The sequence below is a fragment of the Homo sapiens genome, chromosome 16 (assembly GCF_000001405.40).
Source record: "Homo sapiens chromosome 16, GRCh38.p14 Primary Assembly".
Lineage (NCBI taxonomy): Eukaryota > Metazoa > Chordata > Mammalia > Primates > Hominidae > Homo > Homo sapiens.
This window is the reverse complement of record NC_000016.10, coordinates 1,001,902-1,015,480: the sequence shown is the minus strand read 5'-3', so window position 1 is coordinate 1,015,480 and position 13,579 is coordinate 1,001,902. Positions and strand designations below refer to the sequence as shown.

Sequence of the window (13,579 nt, the reverse complement as noted above, 5' to 3'; positions counted from 1 at the left end):
GCTGTCTCTCTGAGGCCAGCTGCTGGAGGAGGCCTGTCCCTGGGTGGACATCAGCAGGAGGAGTGGGCTTCAAGTGACCACAGTTCCCAGGGCCAGCCCCGCACGGAGGCCCCTCAGACCCACAGCTCAAAGCAGAAGGGCCCGGGGTCCTCAGCCAAGACCCCTGCTCCCAGGACGGCTGCGCCCACCCCTGTGAGTGCAGCTCCGCCCTGTCCACCGCCCTGTCCGCCTCTTGTCGGCTCTTCTGGAAACCTCTGCAGTGGACTCGACACAATCCTGAAACACCAGCATCCCCGGGGCCTGCAGGAATGTGCTCCTGCCGGGTGAGCTGGCTTAGACTGGGCGACAAGAGTTCTGTGTGTGTGTGTGCGTGTGTGTGTCTGGGGGTGGGACTGAGGCCTGGGGACTATCTCAGCAGTGCTGGGGCTCTAGGGATCCATGGGAAACAGTGGGCTGAGTGTGCTCTATGTTCTGCTGCAGGCTCTGAGGGCTACAGGCCTTGCCTACCCTGGCATGAGCTGCTGGCCTGCCCTCTGCTCTGAGCAGATGTGGGGGTGGGTGGCATCTGGCCACGGAGAGTGGGCCAGGCCCAACACACGCAGCCCAGACCTCTGTCCCGGGGCAGCCTCCCAGGAGGAGCCACCTCCAGCCCTCGCCACGTCACCTCCGGCGTCAGGACTGGCCAGGCCACATCCTCTCCAGACCTGGCCGTCCTTCGCTGCAACCTCGGAGAAGCCACTCTCCTCCTCACCGGCAGCACCTGCCCTGGGGACCCCTTCGTCCCACTCACCTCCAGCCTGGCTGGGACAGGGAGACGACTCTGGGCCAGGGGAACTGGCCCTCCCGGCACAGGCCCTGCTCAGGGCTGGGAGGGAGGCATGGCTCTGTTCTCCCTTTGGTGAACAAGGAAGCCGGCCTCGGGCACTGAGTCCTCCAGCAGGGCAGGCTGGCCAGACAGATGGGCAGGTGGACCCATGGAGGCCACAGCCCCCACTGTAGGAGGCCCCCTCGGCCAGCATCAGAGAACAAGTCCACCCCACTCCACGGACTGGAAGACCGAGACTCACAGGGGCCCGGGGCCACCCCTCAGAAGCCCACACACAGAGCCCAGCCCCACAGACACAGCTCACCCACTCAGCTCACAGGACTGAGCCTAGGATGGGCAGAGGGGACCTGGAAACCCACCCCAGCCCCAGCCCCGCCAACACCTCCTACCTGGAGGCTGCAACGAGAACTGTCAGGGCAGGAGGGGGGCTGCAGGCGCTGGGGCCGTAAATCAGGGCTCCCAGCAACCCCCAGGCCTGGAGGAATTCCAGGCCCCTCCACCGTTTCCTCCCAGCCAGAAGGGGTGTCCTGGGCCCACAACTCGGCTCCCTCCCCGTAGTGGGTACAGAGTGGATCATGAGCTTTCCTGGGCGAGGTCCCCTAAACCAATTCTCTCTCCCCTCTCCTCTCAGCCATCCCAGCTACAGGGAGGACACCGAGGCCAGGAAGGGGGGCGCGTCCATTGCCCCCCAGCTGCATGACGCAGAGTTGGACCCACGTCCAGGGCATGCCTCCGGGTGCAGCTGCTCTAAGCCCAGAGCACTGTGGCCTCTGGAGCACCACCAGTCTCCACAGCCCACTGGCCTGCCCCTGGGTCACCCCAGGCCCCGCCCAGGCCCCCTGGCAGCCTCTGCCTGCCCAAGATCCGCCACCACCCTCCACAGCACCGTGGCCTCCGGAGCACGGTCCGATGCAGGTGGAGGAGGCGCTCCCAGCCCTGGCAGCTACAGCCCCTCCCCAGCCACCAGCCTGGGCCAGGAGCTCCTGTCAAGAGCTGGACACCTGTCCTGGGTTGGTCCTGCCTCACCCAGCGCCCAGCCAGCTCCTCCTCAATGCCACCAGCCCAGCCCAGGACAGAGCTGAGCAAGCAGATGCTCAGGACCAGCCGGAGGGGCCACTTAGGCGGGCAGAACGCAGGGGCCAAGGAGCACCACAGGAAGATCCCAGCCCCGCTGGCGATGGGCACCTGCGTGCAGGCAGAGGGCAGCACATGGAACAGCAACACAGGCCTGCAACAGGACGCAGTGAGGGGGCGCAGGGCTGCACAGTGGTACACGTGTGTGTCCTGTGTGTGCACATGTGTGTCCTGTGTGTGCATGGGTGTGTCCTCCATGTGCACGGGTGTGTCCTGGGTGTGCACTCGTGTGTCCTGGGTGTGCACGTGTGTGTCCTATGTGTGCACTCGTGTGTCCTGGGTGCACACACGTGTGTCCTGTGTGTGCACGTGTCCTGGGTGTGCGTGCATGTGTCCTGGGTGTGCACGCATGTGTCCTGGGTGTGCACACGTGTGTCCTGCGTGTGCGCATGTGTGTCCTGGGTGTGCATCTGACTGGGGGCACCTGTGGGTTTCATCCCCCACCCCAGCCTGCCCCCAGGTCACACCAGGCTCTCCAGGCCCCCAACAGCCTCTGCCCACCTGAGGCCAAGCAACCCCGCAGGTGTCCTGCCCTGCTTACTCCCAGACCAGCCCCACCTCTGCAACCACCCCCCGGGGTCTCAGCCAACAGGAGGTTCCAGTCCCACAAGTTTCAGGAACCACCTGCGGCCAGTATGGGGCTGAGGGTTGGACCCTCGGCCTCACCCTGTCAGGCGCCCCCGCCTGCTCTTTGACATGGGGAGGGCACACAGGTGGGGGCACAGCCCGGTGAGTCCTCCGGACCCTGGGCAGAGGGGCAGGATGCAGGGGCAGAATGCTGACCCCCATCAGCAGCCACCAGGATGGTGTCCTGAGCCTGAGGGTCCCAGGCTCTCATGGCCCTTCCCCGTGCTCCACAGCACTCCAGCCGCCTGCCTAGTCCATGTGGGTCCCAGAGGAGCTGCTGGGCTCTGGAATCATCTTGGGAAAGGCAGGCAGAGGCTGGCCGAGGGTGGGGTAATTCCTGCCTTCCTGGGAATGGGGACAGCCTCAGGGGAGCCCTGGAGATGGATTTTCCCCGATTTACCCAGCTCCCCAGCTCCTCCCAGCAAGATGCTGGGGTGTGGGCTGCTGTGAGACTCCCCATCCCGCGGACCCTGCCTGCCTGCCTTCAGGGTCCCCTGAGTGTTACTAAACAGAGGGGCAAAGCGTGGCCCCCAACGCCCTGAAAGGGAGCCCGCGCTGCGGCCCCAGTGCGGAATCAGGTGCTCAGATCGTTCTGCCGGAGCCTCCACGTCTCTTCCAATGTGCACAGGAAGGGACCCCGGCAGTGTCTCAAACCTGCCATGGGGAGTCTCCTTTCAAAGTAGACTCGAAGCTGAGGGTGACTTGGAAGAATATCGGGCGGACAGGACCACGGTGGCCCGAGGTCCTGCGGGCAGGCTGAGTGTTGGCCGGAGGTAATTCGGGCCTGAAGGTCTCTGTCCCTCCTGCACTGAGCTGTGTGCTGCCCTCTGGGTGGGGCAGCAAGGAAGAGGCGCCCCTGTCGCCCGGGTGCTCCTGCTCACACCAGGGAAAGGGGCAGAGACAGAGAGGGCCCCTCTGTGGTCTGACCCCACCGGAGGAGATGGTCTCCTGGACGCCAAGGCAGGCCACACACGACGTCTGCTTCCTCGGGGGTCTGTGGCCTTCCACCTGACCGCCAGGCACATTCCCGGTCACTCTGCTTTCTGCTCCCCCGTTTGTCTCTCTGCCCTGGGAGAGTCGGGGCAGCTGCAGCCCTTGTGGGACCAGAGCAGGGCTGAGGCACGGTGCGGAGACAGGCAGGGGACGCCTGCCATAGTGGAGTGAGGGTCGCCGAGGCCAGCTGCTGCAGGAAGGGAATGCCGGCTCTGAGTACCACCAATGGCACAGCTGAAAACTGCAGCGATGTCCTCTCCCGCAGCCTGGAGACAGGCCTAAAATCGAGGTGTGAGCAGAGCTGTGCTCCCTCCGGAAGCCCCAGGTGAGGGTCCTTCCCGCCTCTTCCAGCTTCTGGGCCCCTGGCCGCTCTGCCCTGCATCTCTGCCCTGCCGCTCTGCCCTGTGTCTCTGCCCTGCCGCTCTGCCCTACGTCTCTGCCCTGCCGCTTTGCCCTGCGTCTCTGCCCTGCCGCTTTGCCCTGCGTCTCTGCCCTGCCGCTTTGCCCTGCGTCTCTGCCCTGCCGCTTTGCCCTGCGTCTCTGCCCTGCCGCTTTGCCCTGCGTCTCTGCCCTGTGTCTCTGCCCTGCGTCTCTGCCCTGCGTCTCTGCCCTGGCCGCTCTACGCTGTGTCTCTGCCCTGCATCTCTGCCCTGGCCGCTCTGCGCTGCGTCTCTGTCCTACGTCTCTGCCCTGGCCGCTCTGCGCTGTGTCTCTGCCCTATGTCTCTGCCCTGCGTCTCTGCCCTGTGTCTCCTCTGTCTCCCTCCAGGGAGGCTTGCCCGGGCGGGGCTGCTCCTGCCTGCTGGACCAAGCCCCGCACCCACAGCCCTGAACTGCTCACTGCCGGCGCTCCTGGGACCACCCTGGAACCCAGCCTAGGACGCACTCAGCCAGCGTCTGTCTCTCCATGTGCCTGGAGACCAGCAAAGCCAAAAGCCTGTGGCAAGGCACTCACAGGACTGAGGCCGCCTGCCCCGCCTGCCACACGTCTCTCAGAGGTGGGGGTCTCATTTTGCCACAGACACCGAAGCCACAACAGTGCAGGGCAACCTGATCAGCCCTGTCCCGGGATGGGGCCACGGCCATGTGGACACACAGTGGGCGGCCCCCGAGTGGGAACAGCCTCAGCTTGGCCCGTTTGGTTGGAGCCACCCGGGGGCCACACGCTGCAGCCCCTCCTGCCCAGCGGCTGCCGCTGGGTTCCGTGTCACAGCCACACACGTTTCCACACATTCTTCCGCTTGGGAATGGGCAGTACTTTGCACGATGGGGTCACCACCGTGTGGCCGCCTGGGCCCTCCACTTTCACGGGGCATGTCCTTCAGGGCCCCTCCGAGCCCGCCGCTGCCTCTGCCCGGCCTCCCACCAGCCACTTTTATGGGTTCACAATCACAGACGGGTCGCTGCGACGCCTGGCCCCTCCCCCAGCCATGGGGAGGACTTGCTGAACAGGGGGCCGGAAAGGGGCCCTGTCTCTCCCGGAGATGCCGTGAATGCAGCCTGGCTTCCCTGCGGCTGTGCCTGGGCAGCTGCCGGGTAAGGAAGCAGAAGCGGGCTGGGACCAGACACCAGGCTCCCCACCTGTGCAGCTGTGTCCCCCTCCCTGCCGCCCTTGCCACAGAGCAGCGCTTCCTGGTGGCCTTTTCCCCCCACCACGCCCCCCACACTCCCCTCAGGCCGGACCCCTCCATCCACAGTGGACACAGTAGCCTGGGAGCGTTGGATCCCCCACTCAGCTGAGAGGCACAGAGGCAGCCCAGGACCCTGCAGAGGTCCCCGCATAGCTTCTGCACTGCTCGGGGGGCCCTGCTCGGCCCCAGAGGCCCACTTGCAAGCATCATCAACGTGCAAGGCCGGCCCGGCCCCCGCCCCACACGAGGGGTACCTCCTCTTCTCCTAGGTCCCTGTGGGCCTTCGTCGCTGGCTGGGCTAGAAGGGCTCCCACGCCCAGCCCCTCCTGGTGTCCCTGGCTCCTCCAGACCTGTCTCCCCTCTCCCTCACACACTGAGTTTCAGGATCCCTGTGCCCCATGCCCCTTCCTGGGGACTCCGAGCGCCCCATCGCACCCCAGAGCCCCCACACTTGCTCCTCCGCCAGCACTGGGGCCGGGCTCCCCGCTACTTGCAGGCTGTGTGGTCGCCCGGCCTCCTGGAGGCACTTTGCCTCCCTTGGGAACAACCTGCTCCTCTCTTTTTCCACCCCAGAGCCTGGGGCTGCCTGGGATTGACAGGTGGGTGCAGATGGGAGCTCTCGGGCTCCTGCCCACCCAAATTCCTGGCACCGGGGCAGCTCCTGGGCCAACCAGCCCTGCCTCGCTGGCGTCTCCCTCTGCCAGCCCCACGCTGACACTTCGCCCTCCTCTCAGCAACGTGCTTCCTGCTAGCATCCTCTGAGCACCTGCTGCGTGCAGGGCCTGCCCTGGCTGCCTCCCCACTGCTCACAGACCCCGGTGTGCTGGCCCCTGCCCCATCCTCCAGGCCTGGAGTCTCCCTGACTCATTCCCCCGAATGCTCCCTTCCTTTATTTATTTATTTATTTATACCGATTCTCCTGCCTCAGCCTCCCGAGTAGCTGGGATTACAGGCGCCCACCACCACGCCTGGCTAATTTTTGTATTTTTAGTAGAGATGGGGTTTTACCATGTTGGCCAAGCAGGTCTCGAACTCCTGCCCTCAGGAGATCCACTTGCTTTGGCCTCCCAAAGTGCTGGGATTACAGGCGCCCACCACTACACCCGGCTAATTTTTGTACTTTTAGTAGACACAGGGTTTTGCCACGTTGGCCAGGCTGGTCTCAAACTCATGACCTAATATGATCCACCCGCCTCGGCCTCCCAGAGTGCTGGGATGACAAGCATGAGCCACTGCACCTGGCCCCTTCCTTTATTTAAATCACAGCCCAAAGCCACCTCTCAAAGCCCGATTCTGGCTTGCCATCCGGCCTGGTTCATGGACCCTCAGCCTCTCACCACCCCTGAGATCTCCACAGTCTCCTTGGCAGACGCCCACCTGAGGCAGCAGCCCTGACCACTTCTTTCCAGCTCTCTGTGTTCTCCAGCTCCCTGGGTGACCCCCTAAAACCAGATCACTCTCTCCAGTGTCTGGGGTCCCCATCTGTGACAGGTCTCTGGTGTGGATGAGTCTGGGGGCTCCCCCATCTCTCTGGACCTCAACTTCCTGAACTACAACTGGGCACTGTAGTGGGTTGAACAGTGTCCCCCAGGACTCACGTCCACAGAGCCTCAGGACGTGCCTTTATTTGGAAACAGCGTCATGGCAGGTGTAACTGGTTCCAGGATGGGGTCAGTGGGTCTTAGCCCGAGTGCCCGTATAAGGAGGAGAGGAGAGGCTCACAGGAGGACCCACGAACACGCAGGCAGAGCGATGTGGCCGCCAGCCAGGGAGCACGGGCAGCAGCAGGTGCTGGCAGAGGCCAGGAGGATCCTCCCTGTCTCAGGAGAAACCAGCCCTGCTGGCCGCTGGACTTTGGCCCTCTGGCCCCCAGAGCTGTGAGGGGTCCTCTGGCCTCCAGAGCTGTGAGGGGCTCTCTGTTGTCCTGAGCCTCCTAGTTGGTGGTGCTTCGTATGGCAGCTCCAGACACAAACGCAGGTGCCCTCATCATGGCCACCGCCCCGTGGGTCCTCGCTGGAGACTCTCAGAGGCCATCCCCTCCCACGGGCCCCAGGTCCCTGCCCTCTGTGCCCCGTCTGTGAAGCGGAAGGTTGGAAGACGAGGTCATTTCCAAAACTCGGCCCAGCTTGGAGACTGCCTGGTTGGCACCAACGTCCACCCCCATCCATCACCCCGCGAGGTCCTGGGGCCTCAGCCATCACGGTCCCCCTTGAAGGGGCTTCCTGGGTCCTCCAAGGATGTCCTGGCTTTCCACTGCCCAACCGGGAAGCCTGGGCCCGGGGACTTGGTGATGAGGAGAGGGGAATGAAGGGCTGGAGCTCCACCAGGGACAGAGATGGGGTGTACCAGGAAACGGGGCCAGGGGCCGTGGGGTCAGCCACAGGGGTTCAGACAGCAGGGATCCCTGCTAGAGTCTGGAGTCCCAGGTGGGAGCATCCCAGGAACCCCCACCCCTCCTGGGCCATGGGAAGGACGCTGCCTGCTGGGAGTGACAGCACTTGGCACCAAGCTGGCCAGGTTCCCCTCAAGGGCACGGCACAGCCGAGCAGGAGTGGGAGAAGGATGCGGGGCTGTAATAGGGAGGGATGGGGCACGGTCGGCTCCTGGCTTCTGGGCCAGAGAGTGTGACCCTTGGCTGGGTCCCAGTTACCTGGCAGGGCTGCTGCAGCTCCAGCCACGTCCGTCCTGCAGGGCGCCCACACCCTTTTCCCTGAGCTGGATGCCCCAGAGAGCTATTCCAGGCGCCTGGTGGAGACATGACCCGTCTGGCCAGACCGAGGCACAGCCACCACCCATGGCCTCGCCTGTGTGCCCTGGTGACTCACACCCACCGGAGCAGAGAGGCACCAGGATCCCCCTTGGCCATGCCTGGTGTTCGGGGAGGAGAGAACAGGAGCTGCCACCTGGGAAATGCCTCCTCCAGCCTCCCTGGGCCGCACCCCAGAGCCCTAAATAAATGCCTTTGCAGGTCTGCTCCCAAGAGGCACGAGGACTCCTGCCATGTTCCCTGAGACATGACTTAGCGGGCTGGCCACCATGGCCTGTCTTGCCACGATCCCAGGGCCCAGCCCTCTGTCCCCCAGCACCAAAGCCTGTCCCCATCTAGAAGAAGGCACTGGACTCGCTGTCCGCCACCCCTCCCGCCTTGCTCCCCTCCATCCTGCTCCGGGAAGGCTCCAGGCCCTCACATCCCACGGCCATGGAGCCTTGGGGAACCCGCTGCCCCGGTCTGGAACGTGGAGCAAGCTCAGGCGACGGTTTCCGCGGACAGGACAGACGGGGTGGCCGGATCCCCTGCACAGCTCCAAGTTTGGGTGACGGTTTCCGTGGACAGGGCGGACAGGGTGGCCGGGTCCCCTGCACAGCTCCAAGTTTGGGTGACGGTTTCCGTGGACAGGACAGACGGGGTGGCCGGGTCCCCTGCGCAGCTCCAAGCTTGAGTGATGGTTTCTGTGGACAGGAGGGACGGGGTGGCCGGGTCCCCTGCACAGCTCCAAGCTTGGGTGATGGTTTCCGTGGACAGGGCAGGTGGGGTGGCCAGGTCCCCTGCGCAGCTCCAGGGATCCATCTGGGAGGTGGCCGCAGAGGGAGCAGGGATGTGAGGCTGAACCGGCTGACATGCTGCAGGGTCAGGACCGGTCCCAGGACCCATCCAAGGCCCAGTGTCCCTTCAGTCCCAAGAGCCCACATCAGCTGTCCCAGCACAGAGCCCTCCCCTGGTGCTGGGGGCTGGGGGCTGAGTGGTGGGCGCAGGGGAGGGGTCCACCTCTCATAACCCAAATCCTACCCCACGTGCCCAGTCCCTGAAGCTCCGCCCCAGCTCTCTCTAAAGTCCCATCGGCCTTGTGATGCCCTTGGGCCAACGCCTGCACCCCATTCCTGATAGGGAGGGAGGCAGGGGCCCAGCTCCTGGTGGACAGTGGAGCATGGCACAGACCCCCAGTGCCACCACCTCCCCTCCCCACACCATTTCCAAAAAACAAAATCAGCACACAATCAAGAAATAAAATCATCACTGCCCACTTCAGATGGAAATTCCCTCTTACCCGCTGATTTACTCATGGCTGGAAAGTAAGTTTTACAAATGTCTTTCTGTAGAGGACTTGGTTTGGGTGAGTTTTTTGTCTTTTTTTTTTTTTTAGATGGAGTCTTGCTGTGTCGCCCAGGCTGGAGTGCAGTGGCCAAATCTCAGCTCACTGCAAGCTCTGCCTCCCGGGTTCACACCATTCTCCTGCCTCAGCCTCCCGAGTAGCTGGGACTACAGGCACCTGCCACCGCGCCCGGCTAATTTTTTGTATTTTTAGTAGAGACGGGGTTTCACCGTGTCAACCAGGACGGTCCCTTTGTTCATATAAAAATCTAGAGCCGCCTTCTGCGAGCAGGCGTCCTGCCCCCCAGGGCGCTCAGGGGAGATATTTCTGCATGAAATACATCCCGTGGCAGGGCCTTGCTCTGAAGCAAAAATGAAGGCAGTAAATTCTGAGGAGGGATTTGTTTAACCTGTCACCTTGCGGCAAAGTGTGGCCCTGCCTGTCCTGACATACTCTCCTGTGTTTTTATAACACTTGGCTCGGCCACCGTGGAGGCTGGAAGAAAATCTGCCAATCGGGTGTTGCGGGGAGGGTTCACTCCTCTCCAGACAGAAGGAGCGCCAAGTCCTCCTGGGTCTACACCACACATCCATCTGCCCATTTTCCATTCACTCACTTGTTCACACCCACCTCCCTCGCTAGCCTTGCGGGGGTTGCTGGACAGGACCACAAAAGCTGGTGCCCAGCTCCGTCCCCAGCACGCCTGCCCCGACACGGTGAGGGGCTTTGTAACACGCCCAGCTCTGTCGCTCCAGACCCTGGGTGCACAGCTGAAGGAAGAAGAAGGAATCAGACACTTTGCCACACTCCAAGCTCCCCAACCCCAGCACAGGAGGCCTGCACAGGGAATGAGCTCTCTGTCTTAGGAGGTAAGCAAGAAGCTGAAAAGTCCTTGGGTTCAGGATGCTGTGGAGAGAGCCAGCTGGGCTAGGTGAACCTGGGGCCTCTACAGGAACACCCCCATCTCTTGTCCCTCTGTCCCCTCCCCCCATCTCTACCCCCTCCCCCGTCTCTTCTCCCTCTGTCCCCTCCCCCATCCCTGCTCCCTCTGTCCCCTCCCCCATTTCTACCCCCTCCCCCATCTCTGCTCCCTCTGTCCCCTCCCCCATCTCTACCCCCTCCCCTTCTCTTCTCCCTCTGTCCCCTCCCCCATCTCTACCCCCTCCCCCTTCTCTTCTCCCTCTGTCCCCTCCCCCATCTCTACACCCTCCCCTGTCTCTGCTCCCTCTGTCCCCTCCCTCATCTCTACCCCCTCCCCCATCTCTGCTCCCTCTGTCCCCTCCCCCATCTCTACCCCCTCCCCCGTCTCTTCTCCCTCCCCATCTGTTTTTTTTTTTTTTCTCGAGATAGGGTCTCACTCTGTCGCCCAGGCTGGAGTGCAGCGGTGTGATCTTGGCTCACTGCAGCCTCTGCCTCCTGGGCCCCAGTGATCCTCCTACCTCAGCCTCCTGATTGGCTGGGACTGCAAGTACACACCACCATGCCCAGCTAATTTTTGTATTTTTTGTAGAGATGGGGTCTTGCCATGTTGCCAGGCTGGTCTTGAACTCCTGAGATCAAGCAATTCACCCATCTCAGTTTCCCAAAGTGCTGGGATTACAGGCATGAGCCACGGCGCCCAGCCCCCATCTCTTCTCACTCCCCCATCTCTGCCCCCTCCCCGCCTGCGTGTCTGTGTGGATACCCGGCTCCAGGGGTCTCTCTGGACAGCCTCCTGGGGCACCCCACATGCTCCCCGCACCATGGGCAAGGCTGGAGCCACCTTCCCTGAATCAATACTGACCCAGGCCCAGGAGTGGGGCTGGGGCTGGGGCTGGGGCCAGGCTTGCTGGTCACTCCTGTGCCTGCCGTGCTCCGGGCTTGGAGACGCATGTGAAGGGTGGGAAATCGCCTGGGCCTCCTCACAGGGCGCTCACGTTCACCTTGGGAAAAATAACAGGTTTTGGTTTTGTTTTCTTTTTCTTTTTCTTAACCACAAAACACTCATCAATGGTTCTGAGGGGGCAGGAAACCTCAGGACTGAGTGTTGTCAGGAAATTGAGCTCCCGGGGCCACACGCGGGGCCGGCACGAGCCAGGGCGGCACATTCCAGAAGGCTGCTCCGTCAGTGCCACCCACTGCCCTATGTGCTTCATGCCCAGGGGGTCCACACAGGGCAGCAGAGGGTCCTCGGGCCAGGACAGTGGACGACCTCAGGGGGTAGAGCCCTCCAGACCCCTGAGGGGCCTTCGGGCTGGTCCCTCTGTGCCTGCCGTGGACCTTGCCTCCTCCTCTAAGGGCAGCAGCCTGTGGGGTCGCAGCCCCCCGTGTCCCTCCTCTAAGGACAGCAGCCTGTGGGGTCGCAGCCCCCCGTGTCCCTCCTCTAAGGCTTCAACCAGTGCACCTTGGGGGCCTGAGTTCAGCCCAGGTCAGATTCCGCCTCTGATGGGCCCTGGCTCGTGAGGCCTGATGCCGCCACGACCGCGTGCCGAGGGCTTTCCAGGGCGTCCCCTTGTGCCGTGTCCAGGCTGCCATCAGAGGAGTGCAGGGCATGAGGGGCTCTGGGCTTTTCCCAGGAAAGCAGCTGGCAGCCATCCACCCCTTCCCGGGACCACCACCGGGCTCCTGGCCAGCAGGACCTGCGCAGGCCTCTTCCGTCAGAGCAGCACTTTCCACAAAGCCTGGACACTGTCTGGCGTGGGGCTGTGGGGCCGCATGCTGTGTGCAGGAGTGGGTGTGAGCGAGGCCCATGAGGGGGCTGTGGCAGCAGGTGGGGCCCGGCCGCGTGAGTGCAGGGTCTCTGGACCCCGCACGGTTCCTCATTTGGAGCTCAGTCCCTGGACACGGCCACTCCATGGGGCTGCCAGGATGCCCCCCAGACCACGGCCATGGTGCTGGAGGCTAGGGACCCCTCCTGTGGCCTCTATAGCTCCCTCTCCACCCAGCACCCCCTCCCCATCACTCCATGCCAGCTGCAGGGAAGGCCCCCGGGTCTCTCAACCCACACCTTGGCCCAGCCCTGGCTCCAGGATCCCACCCCAGGGGCCCACTCTGCCACGGGACTTTCGTTTTTCCAAACTTAGAGCCGCCCCTGGCCAGCGGGGGCCGAGCCTGCGTCCACTGCTTGGCAGAGGAAATGTCTGCACTTCAGGCCTGTCCCGTGCCCTGGATGAACACCAGCCCTGGGCACTGCCCTCCGCCGTGGGAGGCCACTGTGGTCTTGAGGCTTCTGGGGAAAGGTCAGGCTTGTCTTTAAGCGACGCGATGCCGGTGGCCTGGATGAGTCACCCCCGAACGTGAGTCATCTCAGCTGCTGGGAATCTTCCAATTGTTTGATTGAGGTGAGATCCACATGGCGTAGAATTAGCCGTTCACGGCATGGGGTGCTGTGGCATCCAGCGGGGCCGCAGTATCTTGCAGCCACCTCCCCACGCCCTGCATGTCGTTCTGGGGCAATTTCATCCGGAAGGAAACCCCTCGCCCCTCGGCCGTCCCCCCAGTCCAGCTCTTGCGTCTGCGGACCTCCCTTTCTGGCATTTCCGCAGATGGAATCGCAGGTGGCCTCTCAGGCCTGGCCTCTTCTGCTCGGCGTGTGTCGAGTCCTTCCCTGCGGTGGCTGAGCCGAGGCTGCCCCTTTTCATGGCTCACGTTCCGCGGTATGGATGAGCCACGTCCGTGGGTTCCTTCACCCGGGGAGGGACATCGGGGCTGCGGCAGGTGCACATGTGCGGGTCCCTTCACCGGGGAGGGACATCAGACTGCGGTTGCACAGGTGCACAGATGTGGGGTGCCACAGACCCACGGTCTTGCTTGGTTTACCTGTGTGAGCCCTCAGGTCACCACCAGGAATCCAGCGTCTCTCCCCTCCAAAGATTCAGTGGAGCCTCAGGGAGCCCAGAAGGGGGCTGGGCCTCCCTCCTGCCACATCTCCAGTTCCAAGGGACCCTGAACTGTGCCCAGGTGACAGGGCCCTCAGAGCAAGGGACTGTCCACCACGTGGCTCACTGCCAAGAGCTCCTGGAGGTGCCAGCATTCCGCTGGGCCAGGAGGGCAGCAGCGGCGGATCTGAGCTACAGTTTGGACGGACCCCTCAGGCAGCAGAAGCCCCTCGGAGGCCCAGGGGAGAACTCCACGCCCCCACCCCTGGGGCTCCCTGGAAAGGCACCGAAGGAAAAAATGTTCCTGAAAAACTAAACAAGTGAATTCAGAAGCTCAGGTGTCAGAGCTGGGGCCCCATGACGGGCCAGGGACAGCCATCGGCCCCTCCGTGGACACCCAGGGTTCCCTGGAGGAGAAATC

The 13,579-nt window shown here is 63.4% G+C and overlaps 4 annotated features.

Annotated features, from left to right (window-relative positions):
- Window positions 924-1,125: a silencer, noted in NCBI's record as "fragment chr16:1064356-1064557 (GRCh37/hg19 assembly coordinates)". NCBI's record gives its function as "represses an EF-1alpha promoter that drives an FKBP-Casp9 reporter gene in an ReSE screen in K562 erythroleukemia cells {active_cell/tissue: K562}" and the evidence as "EXISTENCE:reporter gene assay evidence [ECO:0000049][PMID:32094911]".
- Window positions 4,879-5,498: an enhancer, noted in NCBI's record as "H3K27ac-H3K4me1 hESC enhancer chr16:1059983-1060602 (GRCh37/hg19 assembly coordinates)". NCBI's record gives its function as "activates a minimal SCP1, AML or CMV promoter by ChIP-STARR-seq in naive H9 embryonic stem cells {active_cell/tissue: H9 hESC(naive)}" and the evidence as "EXISTENCE:reporter gene assay evidence [ECO:0000049][PMID:30033119]".
- Window positions 11,222-11,271: an enhancer, noted in NCBI's record as "active region_10216". NCBI's record gives its function as "activates an Ori minimal core promoter by ATAC-STARR-seq in GM12878 lymphoblastoid cells {active_cell/tissue: GM12878}" and the evidence as "EXISTENCE:reporter gene assay evidence [ECO:0000049][PMID:35858748]".
- Window positions 12,923-13,579: an enhancer, noted in NCBI's record as "H3K27ac-H3K4me1 hESC enhancer chr16:1051902-1052558 (GRCh37/hg19 assembly coordinates)". NCBI's record gives its function as "activates a minimal SCP1, AML or CMV promoter by ChIP-STARR-seq in naive H9 embryonic stem cells {active_cell/tissue: H9 hESC(naive)}" and the evidence as "EXISTENCE:reporter gene assay evidence [ECO:0000049][PMID:30033119]".